General features: G+C 38.5%; 1 protein-coding gene across 19 annotated transcripts in view; it reads right to left on the minus strand.

Annotated features, from left to right (window-relative positions):
• THOC2 (THO complex subunit 2) overlaps window positions 1-20,775 on the minus strand; it is a 132,484-nt gene that overhangs the window by 55,196 nt on the left and 56,513 nt on the right. For all 19 annotated transcript variants that reach the window (XR_007068195.1, NM_001081550.2, NM_001441236.1 and 16 more), the window contains 4 exons: window positions 15,905-15,997; window positions 12,395-12,550; window positions 11,342-11,514; window positions 9,878-10,073 (listed from right to left, as the gene is read on the minus strand). Coding sequence is in view for 18 of the 19 variants with exons in the window: in NM_001081550.2 (NP_001075019.1) it covers window positions 9,878-10,073; window positions 11,342-11,514; window positions 12,395-12,550; window positions 15,905-15,997 (618 nt within the window). In the remaining variant the exon portion in view is untranslated. The remainder of the gene's footprint in view (window positions 1-9,877; window positions 10,074-11,341; window positions 11,515-12,394; window positions 12,551-15,904; window positions 15,998-20,775) is intronic.

Raw genomic sequence — 20,775 nt, forward strand, 5'->3', positions numbered from 1 at the left:
ATTTAGAGCACTTTGGCTTTTACCAAGCGCCAACGTATGAAATAGCCACATATACAGTCTTTCTAGACAAATTAATTACCATGGCAGAGTAAAACATAAACACAGAATCTCTCTCCCCCATTCCTAACACAATAAATAAAATATATTTTATTTATATTTATAAGAATCGCTTGAACCTGGAAGGCGGAGGTTGCAATGAGCTGAGATTGCACCACTGCACTCTAGCCTGGCGACAAAGCAAGACTCTGTCTGGGGAAAAAAAAAAGGGAACTTAATGGCCGGGCGTGGTGGCTCATGCCTGTAATCCCAGCACTTTGGGAGGCCAAGGTGGGCAGATCACCTGAGGTCAGGAGTTCCAGACCAGCCTGGCAAACATGGAGAAACCTCGTCTGTACTAAAAGTACAAAAATTAGCTGGGTGTGGTAGTGGACACCTGTAATCCCAGCTACTGAGGAGGCTGAGGCAGGAGAATAGCTTGAACCCGTGAACCCGGGAGGCAGAGGCTGCAGTGAGCAGAGATCATGCCACTGCACTCCAGCCTGGGCAACAAGAGCGAGACTCCGTCTAAAAAAAAAAAAAAAAAAAAAAAGAGAGAGAGAGAGAGAGAGGAACTTATGCTATTTACTTCTAGGAGGGAAAAAGACAAACAAGATTCCGTGACTGGCTGGGTACGGTGTTTGACACCTGTAATCTCAGCACTGTGGGAGGCCAAGGCAGGTGTATCACTCGAGGCAAGGAGTTTTAGACCAGCCTAGCCAACATGGCGAAACCCCGTCTCTACTAAAAATATAAAAAATTAGCCAGGCATGGTGGCACGTGCCTGTAATCACAGCTACTCAGGAGCCTGAGGCATGAGAATTGCTTGAACCCAGAAGGCGGAGGTTGCAGTGAGCCAGGGTCACTCCACTGCACTCCAGCCTGGGTGACAGAGCAAAACTCTGTCTCAAAAAAACAAAGGCGGGGAGCCGGGCATGGTGGCTCACGCCTGTAATTCCAGCACTTTGGGAGGCGGAGGTGGGTAGATCATCTAAGGTCAGGAGTTCAAAACTAGCCTGGCCAACAAGGTGAAACCTCATCTCTACTAAAAATAGAAAAATTAGCTGGGTGTGGTGGCGCATGCTTATAGTCCCAGCTACTAGAGAGGCTAAGGCAGGAGAACTCCTTGAACCCAGGGGGCGGAGGTTGCAGTGAGCCAAGATCATGCCATTGCACTCCAGCCTGGATGACAAAAGCAAAATTCCACCTCAAAAAAAAGGGCAGGGGCAATATAAGCAGAGATATGGAAATTTTAAGAAAAAATAAAAAAAGAAATCCTACAGATAAAAAACACTGTAACAGAATGAAGAATGCCTTTGATGGCTTATTGGGAGATAACGCGGCTGAGGAAAAAATTCTGAGCTTGAGGATATCTCCATAGAAGCCTGCAAAACTGAAAAGCAAAGAGAAAAAAGTCTGATAAAAGGCAGAACAGAATATCCAAGAACTGTAGGACTAAAAAACTGTAACATATGCATAATGGAAATAGCAGAAGGAAGGAAGGAAGAGAAGAAATATTTGAAGCAATGATGACAGAATTTCCCCAAACTAGTATCAGGCACCAAACCACAGATGCGGGAAACTCAGAAAACACCAAGCAAGACAGATGCAAAAAGTAAATAAATAAATAAATAAATAAACAAATAAATAAAACAAACAAAAAAACTACACTTGGGCATATCATGTTATAACTACAGAAAATCAAAGAAAAAGAAAAAATCCTAAAAGATGCTGGGTGTGGGGGAGAACACCTTGCTTATGGAGAAGCAAGGATAAGAATTTAAAACATTTCTCCTTAGAAACTATGCAAGCAGAGTGGAGTGAAAGATTTAAAGTGTTAAGATAAAAAAAAAAACTAGAATTCTGGACCCTGTGAAATTATACTTTAAATGTAAAGGAGAAATAAAGACTTTCTCAGACAAAAACTGAGGGAATTTGTTGCCAGTAGACCTGCCTTGCAAGAAATACTAAGTAAGTTCTTTAGAGAGAAAGAATATAGGTCAGAAACTTGGATATATATAAACAAACAAAAAAAGAAACACTGAAGTAAGATTAAGTGAAGGTAAAATGTTTATTTTTCTTATGCTTAACTAATATAACAAAAATAAGTTTGTTCAAAATAATAATAGCAACAATGTATTTGATTACATACGCATATGCGTGTGTGTGTGTGTGTGTGTGTGTGTGTGTGTGTGTGTGTGTGTGTATAAGCAAATGAATGACTTCAGTGATGCAAGGGTCAGGAGGAAAGAATTAGGATTATGCTGTTATTGTAAGGTACTCACACTACCCATGAAGCAAAATAGTGTGTTTGAAAGTGGACTTGGATCAATTGTAAATGTACATTGCAAACTGTGGGGTAATCACTAAAAAACTTAACCAAAAATGGGCCAGAAAGGGCAGGAAAAGAGTGGAAGACAAAAACAAGAACAAAAAACAGGGGCAAAAACTAAAAAAGAATAAGAAAAATGGTAGATATTAATATTAATCCAAATATATCAATTACTTTGAACACTGATCATCTAAATGCACCAATTAAAATACAAAGACTGTCAGAGTAGATCAAAAACCTAGGTCCACACAAAAACTTGTACAAAGGTGCTTACAGCAGCTTTATTCTTGATTGCCAAAACTTGGAAGCAACCAACATGTCCTTCAGTAGGTGAATGGATAAACTGTGATACATGCAGACAATGAAATATTATTCAGTGCTAAAAAGAAATGAGCTATCAAGCCATGAAAAGACACAGAGGAAACCTAAATGTGTATAATTTTACTAAGTGAAAGAAAACAATCTGAAAAGGCTACATACTATCTGATTCCAACTATATGCCTTTCTGGAAAAGGCAAAACCACGCAGACAATGAAAAGCTCAGTGGTTGCCAGGGGTTGTGAGGAGAGAGGGATAAATGAGCAGAGCACAGAGGATTTTTTAGGGCAGTGATAATATTCTATACATTTGATGAGATCCCTAGTATGTACAACACAAAGCAAATCCTGATGTAAACTATGGACTTTGGGTGATGTGTCAATGTGGATTCATCCCTGTAACAAATGTACCACTCTGGTGGGAGATGTTGATTACAAGGGAGGCTGTGCACATATGGGAACAGGGGCTATATAGCAAATCTTTGTGCCTTCCTCTGGATTTTGCTGTGAACCTAAAACTGCTCTAAAAAATAAAGTCTAAAAAATATATAGGTGCTATCAAAAACATTTGAGTATGTCAGGTGAGCATGTTAGTGCTCTATAATTAAAGAAAATGTTATTATAGCAAAATGTGTCCTTTTACATGAAACAATTCTAGAACCACTACACTCCTCCACTGCTTAAGCCTAGAACAAGAATCCTCAAAGTTTGGTCTTTGGGCCAGGAGCATCAACATCACAGGAGAACTTATTAGAAATGCAAATTCTAAGGTCTCATCTCAAGACCTACTGAATCAAAAACTCCAAGGATGGGGCCCAACAATTTATTTTAACAAGTCCTTGGCCGGGCACAGTGGCTCACGCCTGTAATCCCAGCACTTTGGGAGGCCGAGGCGGGCGGATCACAAGGTCAAGAGATCAAGACCATTCTGGCCAACATGGTGAAACCCCGTCTCTGCTAAAAGTACAAAAAGTAGCTGGGCACGGTGGCGCGTGCCTGTAGTCCCAGCTACTTGGGAGGCTGAGGCAGGAGAATTGCTTGAACCCAGGAGGCGGAGGTTGCAGTGAGCCGAGGTTGCGCCACTGCACTCCAGCCTGGCAACAGAGCGAGACTACGTCTCAAAAAAAAACAAAAACAAAAACAAGTCCTCTGGGTGATTACAAGGCATGCTGAAGTTTGAGAATCACTGTACTAGGAGTTAGTCCTATATACTACATACCTCAAATTTAAGAAACATATATACACATAATCAGAGAAATAAATTACAAATAACTATAGGGCTGGAAGATAATTCTGTTAAGTGATATCTGGTACAAGTATATAAGCCTCTTTTTAAAAATATACATAATTTGTATATAAAAGCAACCCTAAGCTTATAAATGAGATTTGTTAAAGAAGTGTAATTGTAAATACATTATTTGGAACTAAGGTCATATTCACCCTTTAGAAGCAATCTTAAAAATCCTGCTTGAATTCCAAGCTAGACAACAAAAGCCATTTAAACACAGAACAAATGATTTGTCACAGCAAAATCTTTTATGGGTAAAAATAGATCAAAATTCTAACTCAGATAACTGTAAGGATTCACTTTTCCATCACAAACCTAGTAATGAGAAAACGCAGATTTCTTCTTACACTGGTCTCTATGGTCAAAACTAACATTTTTCTCTTCCCTTCTGCCCTTCATCTCTGCAAGAATAGACTGGAGTTAACGCAGGAACCTGGCACAACTAGGGCAGAACGGGTGTACAGGATGAATGCAATGGAGAAGGCAAGAGGGGAAGTGTGACAGCTCTACCAAGTGTGTATCTTGGTAATAATATTGTATATGGTTATGTACAGGACTTCCATGAGTTGAAGGTTTGGTCTCCTGCTCACAAGTTTGATATTTATAACCAAAGAATTTCAGAACAAGAGATCTGAACATTAAGATTTTCAAGTTAAAAGAGCAGCATTAGGTAGGTGAAAGTATGAGGAGAAACAGTCTGTTTATATAGTCTCAAAGTGTTATATCTTCCCACAAGACATATATTAATAACAAAGGGAAAAATAGTAACTGTATAGTGGAGAAACCTGGCAGAGATCATCTTAACCAAATGATAAAGTTAACATCACCAGCAATGGAACAAAGTGACTTCACATGCACCTGATATGATGCACTGGAAAAAAATACAGCCCTTTTGTTTCTTGAGCAGGCACTAGCTAACATGAATCATCCTTTTCAGACAATAAAAATCAAGAGTGAAACATTATTATACTTCCTTTCTAAATTTCTTTAAATTTTTTACTGGTACAAATATTTGTACATATTTGTGGGGTACCTGTGATAATTTGTTACAAGCAATCCCATTACTGGGTATTTATCCAAAGGAAAAGTAATCAATATATCAAAAGAATACCTGCACTCTCATGTTTATTACAACACTACTCACAACAGCAAAGCTATGGAATCAACCTGTTAAGTGCCCATCAACTGATGAATGAATAAAGAAAATGTGGTGTATATATATATACACAATGGAATACTATTCAGCCATAAAAAAGAATGAAATCATATCATTTGCAGCAATGTGGATGGAACTGAAGGTCTTTATGTTAAGTGAAATAAGCCAGGCACAGAAAGACAAATATCATATGTTCTCACTCGTGTGAAAGCTAAAAAAGTGGCCTCATGGCCGGGCACAGTGGCTCACGCCTGTAATTCCAGCATTTTGGGAGGCGGAGAAGGGCAGATCACCTGAGGTCAGGAGTTCGAGACCAGCGTAGCAAACATGGTGAAACCCTGTCTTTACTAAAAATACAAACATCAGTTGGGCGTGGTGGCGGGCACCTGTAATCCCAGCTACTCGGGAGGCTGAAGCAGGAGAATTGCTTGAACCCAGGAGGCGGAGGTTGCAGTGAGCCGAGGTCGCGCCATTGCACTCCAGCCTGGGCGACAAGAGCGAAACTCCATCTCAAAAAAAAACAAAACAAAACAAACAAAAAAACCCAAAAAAACAAAAAAGTGGTCTCATGGAGGGAGAGGATAGAATGACAGATAACAGAGGCTGGGGGTGAGGGGGAATAAACAGAGGTTGATTAATAGGTACAAATATGCAGTTAGATCGATGGAATGAATTCCAATGTTCAATAGCAGAGTAGGGTGACCACAGTTAACAACAATGTATTATATATTTCAAAATAGTCAGAACAGAGGACTTAGAATGTTCCCAACATTTAGAAATGATATACTTCCATTTCATATGAATATTATATAATAAACAATATATATAGTAATAATTAACTACTTAACAGATTTCTTTAGAGTACCTTTACATAATGTAAATTTGTGAGCATTAAAAACAACCTACCTAGGCAACATAGGGAGACTCTGTCTCTACAAATATTTAAAAAATTAGCCAGGCATGGCGCATGCACCTGTGGTCCCAGCTACTTGGGCTGCTGAGGCGGGAAGATCCCTTCAGCCTGAGAGATCAAGGCTGCAGTGAGCCATGGTGGTGCCACTTACACTCCAGCCTTCATGACAGAGTGCAATCCTACCTCAAAAACAAACAAAAAAAATCTACCAGCTAAGTATAAAAAGCCAAGTCAAATATTTCAGATGTCAAGAAATTAATACACAATAGCCGTTAGTATTTCTATACAGTTGCTGTTGTCTAAAATTCAAATTAGATATAATCACCAAACACTGAAGACACCCTGCATTTGTCCTTTTTAACAATGTCTAGATGGTTTTTTTAGTTGTCATGATTCACAACTTTAAAGAAACTATGTATAATTCTTTTCAGCTTTAAAACCTTGGGCTGGGCAAAGATTTCTTAGAGCATGAAAAGCAAACCATAAAAGAAAAATACTGGCCAGGCGCGGTGGCTCATGCCTGTAATCCCAGCACTTTGGGAGACCGAGGTGGGCAGATCACGAGGTCAGGAGATCGAGACCATCCTGGCTAACACGGTGAAACCCCATCTCTACTAAAAATACAAAAAAAATTAGCCGGGCGTGGTGGTGGGCGCCTGTAGTCCCAGCTACTCGGGAGGCTGAGGCAGGAGAATGGTGTGAACCAGGGAGGCGGAGCTTGCAGTGAGCCGAGATCGCGCCACTGGACTCCAGCCTGGGCAACAGAGCGAGACTCCGTCTCAAAAAAAAAAAAAAAAAAAAAATACTACTAAATCAGAATTAAACGTTAAAATTTTTTGCTGTCAAAAGATAGTTAACAAAATGAAAAGGCAAATCAGACTAAGAAAAAAATTTCACAGTATCACATATCTGATAAGGCCTTGCATCCAGAATAAAGAACTCTTACAACTCAATAATAAAAAGACAAATAACGCAACTTAAAAATGTGCAAGAGACATGAACAGACATTTCACTAAAGATAACTATAAATGGCAAATAAGCACATGAAAAGATGATCAACATCCCTAGTCACTGGAACAAAATTAAAAGCTCAGTGAGATACCACTACATACCCACTAGAATGACTAAAACTTAAAAGAGTGACAACAACAAGTGTTGGTGGGAATGTGGAACAATTAGAAGTCTCATACAATAGCTGTTAGGAATGCAAAATGGTACAGATGCTTTGGAACAGTTTGGCAATTTCTTATGAAATTAAACATATACTTACTCATATGACCCATCAATCCCACCCCTGGGGACACAAAAACACATGCCTCCCAAAAGGCTTGTGCAGGAATATTGAAAGCAGCTTTATAATAGCCTCCAGGTAGAAACAACCCAAACGCCCATCAACTGGTGGCTACACTCTGGTACGTCTATGTAATAAAATATCACTCAGCAATAAAGGAACTACTGACACATGCAACTTGGATAAATCTCAAAAGCTTAAGTGGAAGAAACTAGACTGAAAAGAGTATATACCATATGATTCCATTTATTAAATAAGATGTAGAAAAAGCAAAACTATAGTGATGGAAAGCCTATCAGAGGTTGCCAGGAACAGCAATGGAAGGAGGGAACTTCTATATCATGATTGTGGTGGTGAACATACAACTGTATGCATTTGTCAAAACTCATAAAATTGTAGAAGTTTACTGTATTTAAATTATACCTCAAAGCTGATTTTTTTAAAAAAAAAAAGCATAAATGGTTATGGTTAGGATAGTAACTAGAATGCAGCATGAGAAAGACTCTAGGTTGCAGGTACTATTCTGTTTTTTTTTTTTTATACTTCAAGTTCTAGGGTACATGTGCACAATGTGCAGGTTGGTTACATATGTATACATGTGCCATGTTGGTGTGCTGCACCCATTAACTAGTCATTTACATTAGGTATATTTCCTGATGCTATCCCTCCCCTCTCCCCACACCCCACAACAGGCCCCGGTGTGTGAAGTTCCCCTTCCTGTGTCCAAGTGTTCTCCTTGTTCAATTCCCACCTATGAGTGAGAACATGCGGTGTTTGGTTTTTTGTCCTTGTGAGTTTGCTGAGAGTGATGGTTTCCAGCTTCATCCATGTCCCTGCAAAGGACATGAACTCATCCTTTTTTATGACTGCATAGTATTCCATGGTATATATGTGCCACATTTTCTTAATCCAGTCTATCATTGATGGACATTTGGGTTGGTTCCAAGTCTTTGCTATTGTAAATAGTGCCGCAGTAAACAAACATGTGCATGTGTCTTTATAGCAGCATGATTTATAATTCTTTGGGTATATACCCAGTAATGGGATTGCTGGATCAAATGGTATTTCTTGTTCTAGATCCTTGAGGAATCGCCACACTGTCTTCCACAAAGATGGATTAAAGACTTAAATGTTAGTCCTAAAACCATAAAAACCCTAGAAGAAAACCTAGGCAATACCATTCAGGACATAGGCATGGGCAAGGACTTCATGTCTAAAACACAAAAAGCAATGGCAACAAAAGCCAAAATTGACAAATGGGATCTAACTAACTAAAGAGCTTCTGCACAGCAAAAGAAACTACCATCAGAGTGAACTGGCAACCTACAGAATGGTAGAAAATTTTTGCAATCTACTCATCTGACAAAGGGCTAATATCCAGAATCTACAAAGAACTCAAACAAATTTAGAAGAAAAAACAAACAACCCCATCAACAAGTGGGCGAAGGATATGAACAGACACTTCTCAAAAGAAGACATTTATGCAGCCAACAGACACATGAAAAAATGCTCAACACTGGCCATCAGAGAAACGCAAATCAAAACCACAATGAGATACCATCTCACACCAGTTAGAATGGCGATCATTAAAAAGTCAGAAAACAACAGGTGCTGGAGAGGAGGTGGAGAAATAGGAACACTTTCACACTGTTGGTGGGACTGTAAACTATTTGAGTTGGGTAGTGGACATATGGGTGCTTAGTTTAGGGAAAGTCACTGAGCTGTATTTTTCCGTATGTATGTTTTATTTCAATAAAAATCTTAGTAAAAGAATAAATAAATAAAAGAATGGGTCCTTAACAGTCTGAGGCTGAAAAGACTTCTTACACATAGCAGCAATGATTGAAAACTACACTCAAGAAAATGACTAGAAGGAAAAGAATGCTAAGTAACCACTAATCATAAGGGAATTAAAAAAGCAGCCACTTGTCTGAAGTATATTTTCCCATGTGAGGGACTTGACTAATAATCTCGCTAGATTTGGGTTTATATTAATATATACAGTTATGCACCATTTAACAATGTTTCGGTTGATGGACCACATATATGACCAGGGTCATATAACATTATATTAGAGCTAAAAAATTCCTATTGCCTAGTGATATCATGGCTGTCCTAACATCTTAGTGCAAGGTATTACCTTTTAAATGTTTAGATATGTTCAGATACACAAATATTTAACAGTGTATTACAACTCCCCACAGTATTCAGTACGGGAACATTCTGTACAGGTTTGTAGCCTAGGAGTAACGGGCCATACCATATAGTCTAGGTATGTAGTAGGTCATACCATCTAGGCTTGTATAAGTACACTCTCTGATGTTTGCACAATGACGAATCACCTAATGATGCATTTCTCACCTGTCATTAAGCAACACTTGACTGCATATGGTTAGGACACACTGGAATTTTCCACAAACCTCACTCAACATAACCCTTTATTAAATGAGGTTCATATTTTTATTTCTAAAGATACTCATAACACAAGTATACTCAGAATATTTTCATTTCAAAATTTAGGTTTGTAAGAAAAATCTTACTTACCTCCTTCATAAATGACTTGCCTATGCGCACCACTTTTGCAAATAAAATGGGATCGTGAGAAAGGTGAGGACCAAGGTAACAGAACATATTGAACACGTCTCTCCTCAAATCTTCAAAGCTCTCAGCTTGTTTTGGTGCTCTCTTGTTTTGCAAAGCATTAACAGGTGAGCCTTTAGCACCTTTAGGAACTCCAACTCTATTTTAAAAAGTAAAATAAATAAATAAACAAATAAATAAGTATATAATAAATATAACTATATACACACACACTACAATATCTACCATTTTAACAAAGTTATCTTAATCAGTGAAATTTTTTCTTGCTCATATTTGCTTTCTACATTTCAATTGTGCCTAACTTTATTACACCAGATAATTCTCAACTGGTAGAAACACATAAAAACAACAGTCATTAGAAAAAAAAAATCAGAGCTCAGAGGAGAATGTTCCAAATTAACTGCTTAATCAGAGAAGTGTGGATTTCAAGGAACATTTAACACACACCATCTGAATCTGTTTTTAAACTTGGCCGGTATCGGGAACTTGGATATGGGAATGGGCAACAAGGGATGGACCTAAGATGCACTGGAAGATGAAACAGAAAAATATGGATATAACAACACTGATTCAAGTCAACTGACATTTCTCAATCTGGATTCCACAACCTAGGGTATGTAGAATGTGGTCGTAGGGAAAGTGAGCCATGTAATAAAAGAAGGTCACTTTAGGACACCATACCCAGAGTTCTCACCTGCTCAGCAGGTGCCCCACTGTGGAGTCACAGGGGTCACTCTCTAAGAAGCCTGCATGGTCCACGGCCCATGAAGTGACACTGACGGCAGCAACCAGCAGCTACACAAAAGTCACAAGGCTGAGGCTTTTGAGGCAGGCTCTGATCTATGGGGCTGTAGCCACAGCTGCTATCAATACTGCTCCTAAGTATCCTGCAAGTAGGCAGAAAGCTAAAGGACTAGATGACATAGTAACTGGGGATGATAAGAGAGGCTAAACTACTAATTTCCAGAACAGCAGCCTATATGCCAGGAAAGGTAAGGGAATCAGAGAGGCAATGTCCTCACTCAGAGCCACTCAGCCAGGATGGAGAAAAATTACACTAAGAAAAAACCTCAGGAATTCTTTGCCCCTCCCACCCACTGAAAGGAGGGAAAGTCAAAACCAGAAGAATGGAGTTTCAACTCTCAATGGAACAAACCCAACCTAGAAGTCTAACTTGTAGTTTTCAGACTACACTGCAGCACACATTCTAGAACCCCTGGTCTAGACGTTAGAAGACAAGTCACTGATTAATATATATCAGACTGATACACTCTGTGAATAGTTCTTATCTTTTGATAAAAGGTACTAAAATATATGCTTGGTTTGAGGAGATAAGATAAATATACATTTTGTTGTAGTCCTAAGCTATTTCTACCTCAATGATTAATAAAGTATAAAGTTACATACCTTCGGTAGAGAGGCTCAATAGTTATATGAATGAGCTTGCAAATAGCAAGGGCTATTAGCTTGTGTGAAGCTGCATAGTATGGAGGCATCTGATCCATAATGTTCTGTGCATGTTGCCAATCACCAATCTTTAATAAGGCTTCCAACAAGCCAAGTTTTTGGTTATCAGGTGGCTAAAAATGAATAGTCAAAACTAAGATACTCAGGATACAGACATCAAGAAATCTTAATACTTTGTCACTTAAAAAACTGACCTAAGCAACACATCAAAAATATTTGCTATTCATGGGAAATTAAACAATATATTCCTGCAAGTACAATCAAAATTTTTAGCTATTGAAAAAACATCAGGGCCAGGCGCAGCGGCTCACACCTATAGTCCAGGAACATGGGAGGCTGAGGTAGGCAGATCACTTGAGCTCAGAAGTTTGAGACAAGCCTGGGCAACATGGCGAAATCCCATCTCTACAAAAAATACAAAAATTAGCCAAGTGTGGTGGCGCATGCCTGTAGTCCCAGCTACTCAGGAGGCTAAGGCTGGAGAATTACTTGAGCCCAGGAGGTAGAAGGCTGCAATGAGCTGTAATCATGCCACTGCACTCCAGCCCGGGTGAAAGAGTGAGACCCTGTCTCAAAAATAATAATAAATTTATTAAAAAAAAAAACAGACACAGGCATTACAGTTTATAGACTTGGAATTAAGTTCTACTTCATGTTATGTCGTGCCACAGGAAACCAGAATTCATCATCTCTGAGAATCTCTTTAGGATTTGAGGGCCACTAATACACAGAGGACAATTAAAGTCAATACAACTTGTGATTTTACTTAGAAAACATTTTGAAATTTATACAAGAAAAAAAATATGACAGCTTCTCTTAAAAAGGAGCCATTCAGATTAAAAATAAAACCACTGTAGCAAATGATCCAGAAAATGAGGTTTCAGCAAAATGAAAACTAAGAAATTATTCTTCCATAAATGACTATTTAGAAGTTAAATTTCATAATTCAAAATCCAGAAGATAGTGTTAATTTTACTAGAATGAATTACATACTTTCTCTACTTTCTCCTCTTCTTTTTCCTTTTCTTTCTCTCGCTCATCCATTTTTTCAGAAGACAACACAACCATCGTAAGCTTTCTAACAATTTGCTTAGCTTCCGCAATTTCTCGTTTGTGTTCATCCATAATGCAATTATCAGCCGGAAGAAGCTAAAAATGGTACATTAAAATTTCATAAAATAGCTAATACCAACTACTTGTTCATATAAAAAGGAAACACTATTCTCAATTGATAAAACTATAAATAAGAAGTCTAACTTATTCGTGACCATTTGCCTTCTAAGTAAATTTCAGTTATTTTCTTATAATTTGACAGAATGAAGTACCTGAATTCTGTACCCCTTTTAAAATCAAGTCGCAGCTCAAAGTTTCACATCTTCTGTCTGACAGAGTCCCTAAAGTAATGTAATACCACAACAGTGATGTTTTCCGTTGAATTTATTAGTTTACCCAAGAAAATATATAGCAGTTCCATTAAAAACATTACAAATTTCCCCATTAAAGGCTAAACTCCAAATTAAATAAAGCATTGCAATATGGATCCAATTTGGGAAAGGTGAACTACTGAATAACACAAAGGGATAAATTTAAATCATCTAAATGAAAAATTTCAAGTAGAAAAATTATTAGTAACTTGACATCTCACTTTTTCTAGGAGCTTATTTAAGTCACAAGCTAGTTACTAATTTATTGCAAAAGAAAAAGTACTATGTGCATAGTCAACCCTCCATTATGAAAAAGGCTCAAGTATCTCAAACAGTCACCTTGTATGAGTGGAAGATGATTAATGAAGACATTTATAAAATAACCCTAACACAAAGAAAACTTTAGGCAACAAATTACTCAGTAGTTTCTGCTAGTCACTATGATAAGCTATAAAAGGAGTGTTCCTGACCCCTAGAAATGCATAATCTATTCCATTAACTAGGTTTAATGTAAACAGTAAATGAAAATAATAATGAACTATTAAACATTATAGATTTCATTCCATTTATCAAAAAAAAAAAAAGGAGGGAGGGAGAGAGAAAAGTCACTATGGACTGGTGCAAGGAAGTAAGCAAGACTTTTTCTCATTCTGTATGTTCTCCCCTGGCAATCAAACACATTTGTATTGCTGTACTTATACACCTGGCACAGGTCCTCTTGTTTTATTTTTTACTTTTTTTTTTTTTTTGAGACAGTTTTGCTCTCGTTGCCCAGGCTGGAGTGAAATGGCACGATCTCGGCCCACCGCAATCTCTGCCTCCCGGCTTCAAGCAATTCTGCCTCAGCCTCTCGAGTAGCTGGGATTACAGGCATGTGCCACCACCCCAGGGTGATTTTGTACTTTTAGTAGAGATGGGATTTCAGCATGTTGGTCAGGCTGGTCTCGAACTCCTGACCTCAGATGATCTGCCCGCCTTGGCCTCCCAAAGTGTTGGGATTAGAAGTGTGAGCCACTGCGCCCGGCCATAGGTCCTTATCTTTTACCCAGACAATTACAACTCCCTCTAATGGCCAAACTGTTTCTTCTTATAGTTCTCTCAACTTTTATTTCTGTGTATTTTGAGAATATGTCATTAGATACATGTAAAGTTAGAACTGTTTTATCTTCCTAGTGAGCACAATCTTGTTATTATGAAGTAGCCCGCTTTATCTCCTTCTGCCAAAAAGTCTATTTTGTCCAACAGTAAGTTTGCTGATCTATTTTCTCATCCTTTTACTATCAACATTTCATTATCCTTAAGTTTAAGCTGTTTCTCATATAAATAATAAACTCATTTTTAATTCCACTTGACAATCTTTGTCATATTAACAGGACCACTCAGTCTGCTTACATTTACTGCTAAATGCAATCATAATGAGTAATAAATCTATCATCAATTTGTACTTTCCACATATGCCGGTCTATACTTCCCTCTAAAGTCATACCTGTGTTTTTAAATTTTCCCTTTTCTGTCCACTTTTCCATATTCTCAGTTTCTACATCACATCTCTCCTTTAAATACTAATATGGCTCTCCACTCCCAAGAGAAAAATCCAGATTCCTTACTATGTCACTTAAGCCGTTAACAGTTTAGCTTTCTCTATTCCATCCTCATTCCCCCTATATACCACCCTAGGCTCCAACCACTCTGAGCTTCCTGACAGTCCCATAAGGGGATAAAAAAGCCCTTTCAAATCTCCTGCCTTGGCTGGGCATGGTGGCTCACGCTTGTAATCCCAGCACTTTGGGAGGCTGAGGCAGGCAAATCACCTGAGGTCAGGAGTTCAAGACCAGCCTGGCCAACATGGTGAAACCCCATCTCCACTAAAAATACAAAAATTACTTGGGCATGGTGGCATGCGCCTGTAATCCCAGCTACTTGGGAGGCTGAGGCAGGAGAATCACTTGAACCCAGGAGGCAGAGGCTGCAGTGAGCCGAGATAGTGCCACGGCACTCCAGCCTGGGCAACAGTGAGACTCTGTCTCAAAACAACAACAACAACAACTCCTGCCTTTATACTCAGTTAATTCTACCTACAAAGTTTTCTACCATTTCAGCCTAGATGGTCCTACTTGTCTATCAAGATCCCAGTTCAACATCACTAGTTTGGGAAAGTCTTCCAAAATCCCCCAAGACAGATATGGTCACTATCTATTCTGAGCTTTGTGAATATCTCCAATAGAGTACCTATTAAATAATGCAAAATTTTTTTCTCCCTTCCTAGAGTATGACTGCTTCCAAGGTAAAGACCAAGTTTTACTCAACTCTGTAGCCACAGTATACAAAAATAGGCAATGATGTTAATAAAGTGATCTCAAAGGCAGTGAAGATGATATCACCTTTGGACATACTTGTTTTAAATTAATAGATATCCTAATACAAAACCTAATAGAAGAGGAATTTATATACTATTAGCCTAGATTCTGAAACTGATGACTAAATTTTTGTTAAACTAGAGGTCATCTGCCACAATCATGAACTCTTCTACATCCTGGGTCCAGCAATAAAAGCATAATAGTCATTTAGTGCACACGAATAACACAAGAAAAATATTTTTTAAATATACTAAATATAAAAATACACTAATGAAGTTCCCCATTCATCCTGAATGCCTAAAATTAACATTTTAGAGAGAAAGAAGCAGTATATAGGTAACTTTATATTTCCCATCATTTGTAGATAATAAAAAGGCTTAAAAAACCACATTGGTTAGAACTTGGCCTCTCTCCCCATGAGCTATGCCTTGATGACAGTTAAGAACTTGAACTTCATATCCAAACTTAAACTCCATAAAGGTGACCAAAACTTAAACTCCATAAAGGTGACCAAAAAGGTATTTAATTTTCATAGACTGCCAAATAACTAAATTTATTCACTTTATAAAGTAAACACAAATCAACAATGTATTGGGGCTTCAAAGAGTGAGACTTGAGAACCTCGAACCAACCCAATCCTGGGGGTGCTATGTGGCTACCTACTCCTCTTCCCTACCCTTGGGACAGACAATCAAGTATTCTTAGCAGCCCACTTGACTTACATGTACATAAAGATCATCTAAATCAATAAGATTAAATTGTAGAAGTACTGCTGCAACTCTGTATAAAGATGATGGTGTCTCGCCATTTGGTTCCTAGAAATATAAAAAAAAAAGTTTCCATTTAGTGCAGAAAGGACAATTAAAGCAATATCCTTCACCTACCAATAACTAAGAACAATTAGATCAAATACTCTAGGCCAAGAAAATGCTTCACTGCTCTTCCTTATCTTACCAAATATCTGAATTCAGTACAAGGATTATTATGCCAACATCCCTTTTCACATTGGAACATCTTCTGAAGAACACAAGGAAAGCAATTTCAAAAACGGACACAATTTACAATGCAGGTTAACATTTAAATAAAATCTCACAGCTGAATAGCATAAGTGAGATTTTATAATGCACAAGATTTAGTCTGCAGTTCTGTTTATATGTGTGTTTTCTTTTCTGTTTTTTTGTGTGTTTTTTGGTTTTGGAGGGTTTTTTTTGAGACAGGGTCTCACTCTGTCACCCAGTCTGGAGTGCAGTGGCATGGTCATGGCTCACTGCAGTCCTGACCTCTCAGGCTCAAGCGATCCTCCCACCTCAGCCTCCTGAGTAGCTGGAACTACAGGTATATGCCACCACACCCAGCTTTTTTTTTTTTTTAGTAGAGATGGGGTCTCACTATGTTGCCCAGGCTGATCTCCAACTCCTGGGCTCTAGCGATCCTCCCACCTCAGCCTCCCAAAGTGATGAGATTACAGGCATGAGCCACCATGCCTGGCTGATACACATGTGTGTTTTCTTAACTTGCTTTTTCAAGTTAGTTCTTAGTGGAGACGCAGATAGACAAACTGTCAAGTGCAGAAGAACCATCAGCATTTGCTTTATATTTTTCTTCCTTTAATTTTATTTCTTGGGTTTTATGCTAAGTATATCTGGCTGTCAGCTGATGTTCTCCACAAAACAGGTGTACATAAATATTACAGATGAATAAATCGATGTTTTAAAGTACAGAATGGCAAAGTCAATTCCAGGCCAGCCATGAGGACCCTACATAGAAACATAAGAATCTTTGAATGCTATCAATTTTCAAAGCTAATTTTAACACTGCTGAGGTCAGATGAATGGAACAGTGAAGTGAGAATAACTGGCAATAACTAACTGGCCAAATGTAAATAAAAAGCAAACAGTAACAATACACTATGTTCTTTTTATAGTCAATACTGAAAATGAGACCTTTGTATGTGAGGTTCCTCCCACAATTATGATATTATGCAAATAAAATACAAAGCTAACCAAACTAATGTGCATCATTTATAGAAGGCATTGTTTCACTCTATTTTTTAAAAACAGATGAGATGTCTTCAATGTAACAATAGTTTCCTAATTCTAATTTGCTTACAGGCCAGGCACAGTGGCTCACGCCTGTAATCCCAACACTTTGCAAGGCCAAGGTGGTCAGATCACCTGAGGTCAGGAGTTCGAGACCAGCCCGGACAACACAATGAAACCCCGTCTCTCCTAAAAATACAAAAATTAGCCAGGCGTGGTGGCAGGCACCTGTAATACCAGCTACCTGGGAGGCTGAAGCAGGAGAATCACTTCAGCCCGGGAGGCGGAGGTTGCAGTGAGCCAAGATCACGCCACTGCACTCCAGCCTGGGCGACAAAGAGAGACTCCATCTCAAAATAATTTTAAAAACATGTAAAAATAAATGCTTATAAATGGTTACTTAGTAGCAAAACATTTTCCCATAAAAATGAATTGTGGCCAGGGTTTCAAAACAAACTCACAAAAGCTTATTTAACTTATTGACAACCTGTCCTCCACTACCTGACTTGAATGCACCAGGGCCACATTCATTACTCCCTTCATTCTTGTTTAAATACATCACCACAATATGCCCCACACTCTCATCCACATACTGTTATGCACAATCCCTGTTCTGTCCCATCATACCTTTCCACATCCTTGAAATACTTCCACGGAATCATATGGAATTCATGATCCATTCTCAGCAAAATTCCCTATATCCAAATTTCTCATTTAAAGGTTCTTTTCACCGTGGTGCTCACACAGAGCCTGGTTCACCCTGAGAACAGCCCTGCCATTGTAACGCAGTTAACTGGTAGCTGTTTTCCTCAGACGCCTCACACTACCAGGCCTGGAGGTGATGTGGCAGTTTTCTTTTTGCTTGTTATTGTTGCTTCCAGACTATTCTCCCTCTATCCACCCAGCTTTGAATTTCATATCACTCACTACTCCCTCACTATTGTTGCAATCTAGTTTCATTCTGTTGTGGTCAGAGATGATATTTTGCATGATTTCAACTGAGACTTGTTTTGTGGCCTAATATATGGTCTATTCTAAAGAATGTTCCATGTGCTTTGAGAAGAATGTAGATTCTGTTGTTGTGTGTAATGTTCTATATATATAACGTTGTTCAAGTGTTCTATTTTCTTACTCATCTTTTGTCAAGTAATGGTTAGTTGTTCTAACCATTAATGAAAGTAGGGTATGGAAATGTCCAATAATTACACAACTATGTTTCCTTCAAGTCTGCCAATGTTTGCTTCAAATACTCTGGGGCTCTGTTGTTTGGTACAGGTATGTTTATAACTGTTATATCTTCTCAATGGGTTATCCATTTTATATTATATAATGTTTTTCATTGTCTCTTGTAACAACTTATTGTCTTAAAGTCTACTTTGATATTAGCATAGCCACCCCAGGTCTCTCCAGCATAATGCTTGCACAGAATATGTTTCCATACTTTCAGTTTCAAGCTATTTGTATCTCTAAATCCAAAGTGAGTTCCTTATACACAGTATGTAACTGGATCATGATTTTTTATACATTCTGCCAAACTCTTGCCTTTTAATTGGTGGGTTTAATCCATTTACATTCAAAATAATTATAGATAAGGATGAACTTCTATCATTTTGCTACCTGTTTTCTGTCATATTTTTGTTCCTCATTTCCTCTATCACTGCCTTTTTTGTTTGATTTTGTGTGTGTGCACCATTTTGATCCCCTTCTTTTTTCTGTTTAGTTTTTAATTATTTTCTTAGTGGTTCCTTTGGGTATAATAATTAACATTTTAAACTTAAAACAACCTAGTTTGAATTAATACCAACTTCACTTCAATAGTGTACAAAACCTCTGCACCTATACATCCCTGCCCCTCCCCACCTATTGTTAGTCACAAATTACATTTTTATAGTGTGCCATTTGACAGATTTATAACCTGGGTGATGGGATGAATTGTACCCCAAACCTCAGCATCACACAATATACCCAGGTAACAAACCTGCACATGTACCCCGAGTCTAAAATAAAAGTTGAAATTATCTTTTTAAAGATTCATAATTATTATGTATTTGTCTTTTAAGTCATATAGGAAAAAAAGAGGACTTACAAACCACAAATGTAATAGTACTGGCTTTTATATTTTACCTAGAGTTACTTTAACCAGTGTTCTTTCTTTGGCTTGGCTTCTTCTACCTGCTCAATTCTACTGTTGAACCTCTACAGTGAATTTCTTATTTCAGTTATTGTACTTTTCAACTCCAGAATTTGTTTGGTTCCTTTTCATAATTTTTATCTCTTTATGGATGTTCTCTATTTATTTGGTGAGACAGCACACTCCTGGTTTCCTTTAGCTCATAAAGCATTTTAGGACTATTGATTTCAATTCCTTATCTAGGCTGGGCACAGTGACTCACACCTGTAATCCCAGCACTCTGGGAGGCCGAGGCAGGCAGATCAACTGAGGTCAGGAGTTTGAAACCAGCCTGGCCAACATGGTGAAACCCTGTCTTTACTATAAAGACAAAAATTAGTCAGGCATGGTGGTGCGCACCTGTAGTCCCAGCTGTACTTAGGAGGTTGAGGCAGGAGAATCACTTGAAACCTGGAGACAGAGGTTGCAGTGAGCCGAGATTGTGCCACTGCACTTCAGCCTGGGTGACAGAGGGAGACTCTGCCTCAAAAAAAAACAAAAAAAAAAACTGGACATATTTAATATTATGTAGCAACTATGGAGATTAGATTCTTCTCCACCCCCAAATACCCAGAGGTTGGTTGATGCTGCTTATTGTGGATTTATTGTTGTGTGTGTGTGTTTAGTGACTTTTATAAACTTTTTTTGTAAAGTTTGTATTCTTCATCACGTGTGGCCACTTGAATCTATGTTCTGTTAGCTTAGTGACCAATTAGTATATTGACAGTTTTTTTAAAGGCCTGGATAAATGGGAAAAGAGAGTGCATTAGAACACTCCTCAAAGTTTGGCCAGACCATTCACAGCTCTGCCTCAGTCTTCACTTCCTGCCTACTCAGACCCAGAAGAGAAAGCTTAGGGTCTCTGTTGGCCTTTTCTGGGCATGTGCCCAGCTCTGAGCATAAGCATGACCTTCTTATGGTATATATGACAACTTTGTAAAAAGCTCTTTTTCCCCATGTATCTCTTTTTCTAATGTCTTCCTTCTCAGGCTTTTCGGTCTCACTACTGCTTGTCTCAGCTGTTGTCCCTTGCTCCAGGCCATTACAGACAATAATTGTGCCTTTAAGTGCTTTTGGCAAAAGCCATACCAGCCCTGAGAATACTCCCAGTCAAAAGATACAAAAGTAGGCCCCTATGTGGGTCCTTCAGGGAGCAGGTAGCCAGATTAAAACCCAAAAACACAATTCTTTGCTCCCTCTAGCATTAGCAACCTGCACCAGGAGTGTGGGCTTCTATCACCATGGCCACCACTGATCTGGGTGTGGGGGCTAGTAGACAGGCAATTTAAAATGCCACAGCACTCTCAATTAACTTTGTAGAGCTCTAGAATATAGTAAAAAAAACTTACACCAACCAGGGAAAGGACTGGGGAAGAATAAGACA

This window comes from Homo sapiens, chromosome X (assembly GCF_000001405.40).
Source record: "Homo sapiens chromosome X, GRCh38.p14 Primary Assembly".
Lineage (NCBI taxonomy): Eukaryota > Metazoa > Chordata > Mammalia > Primates > Hominidae > Homo > Homo sapiens.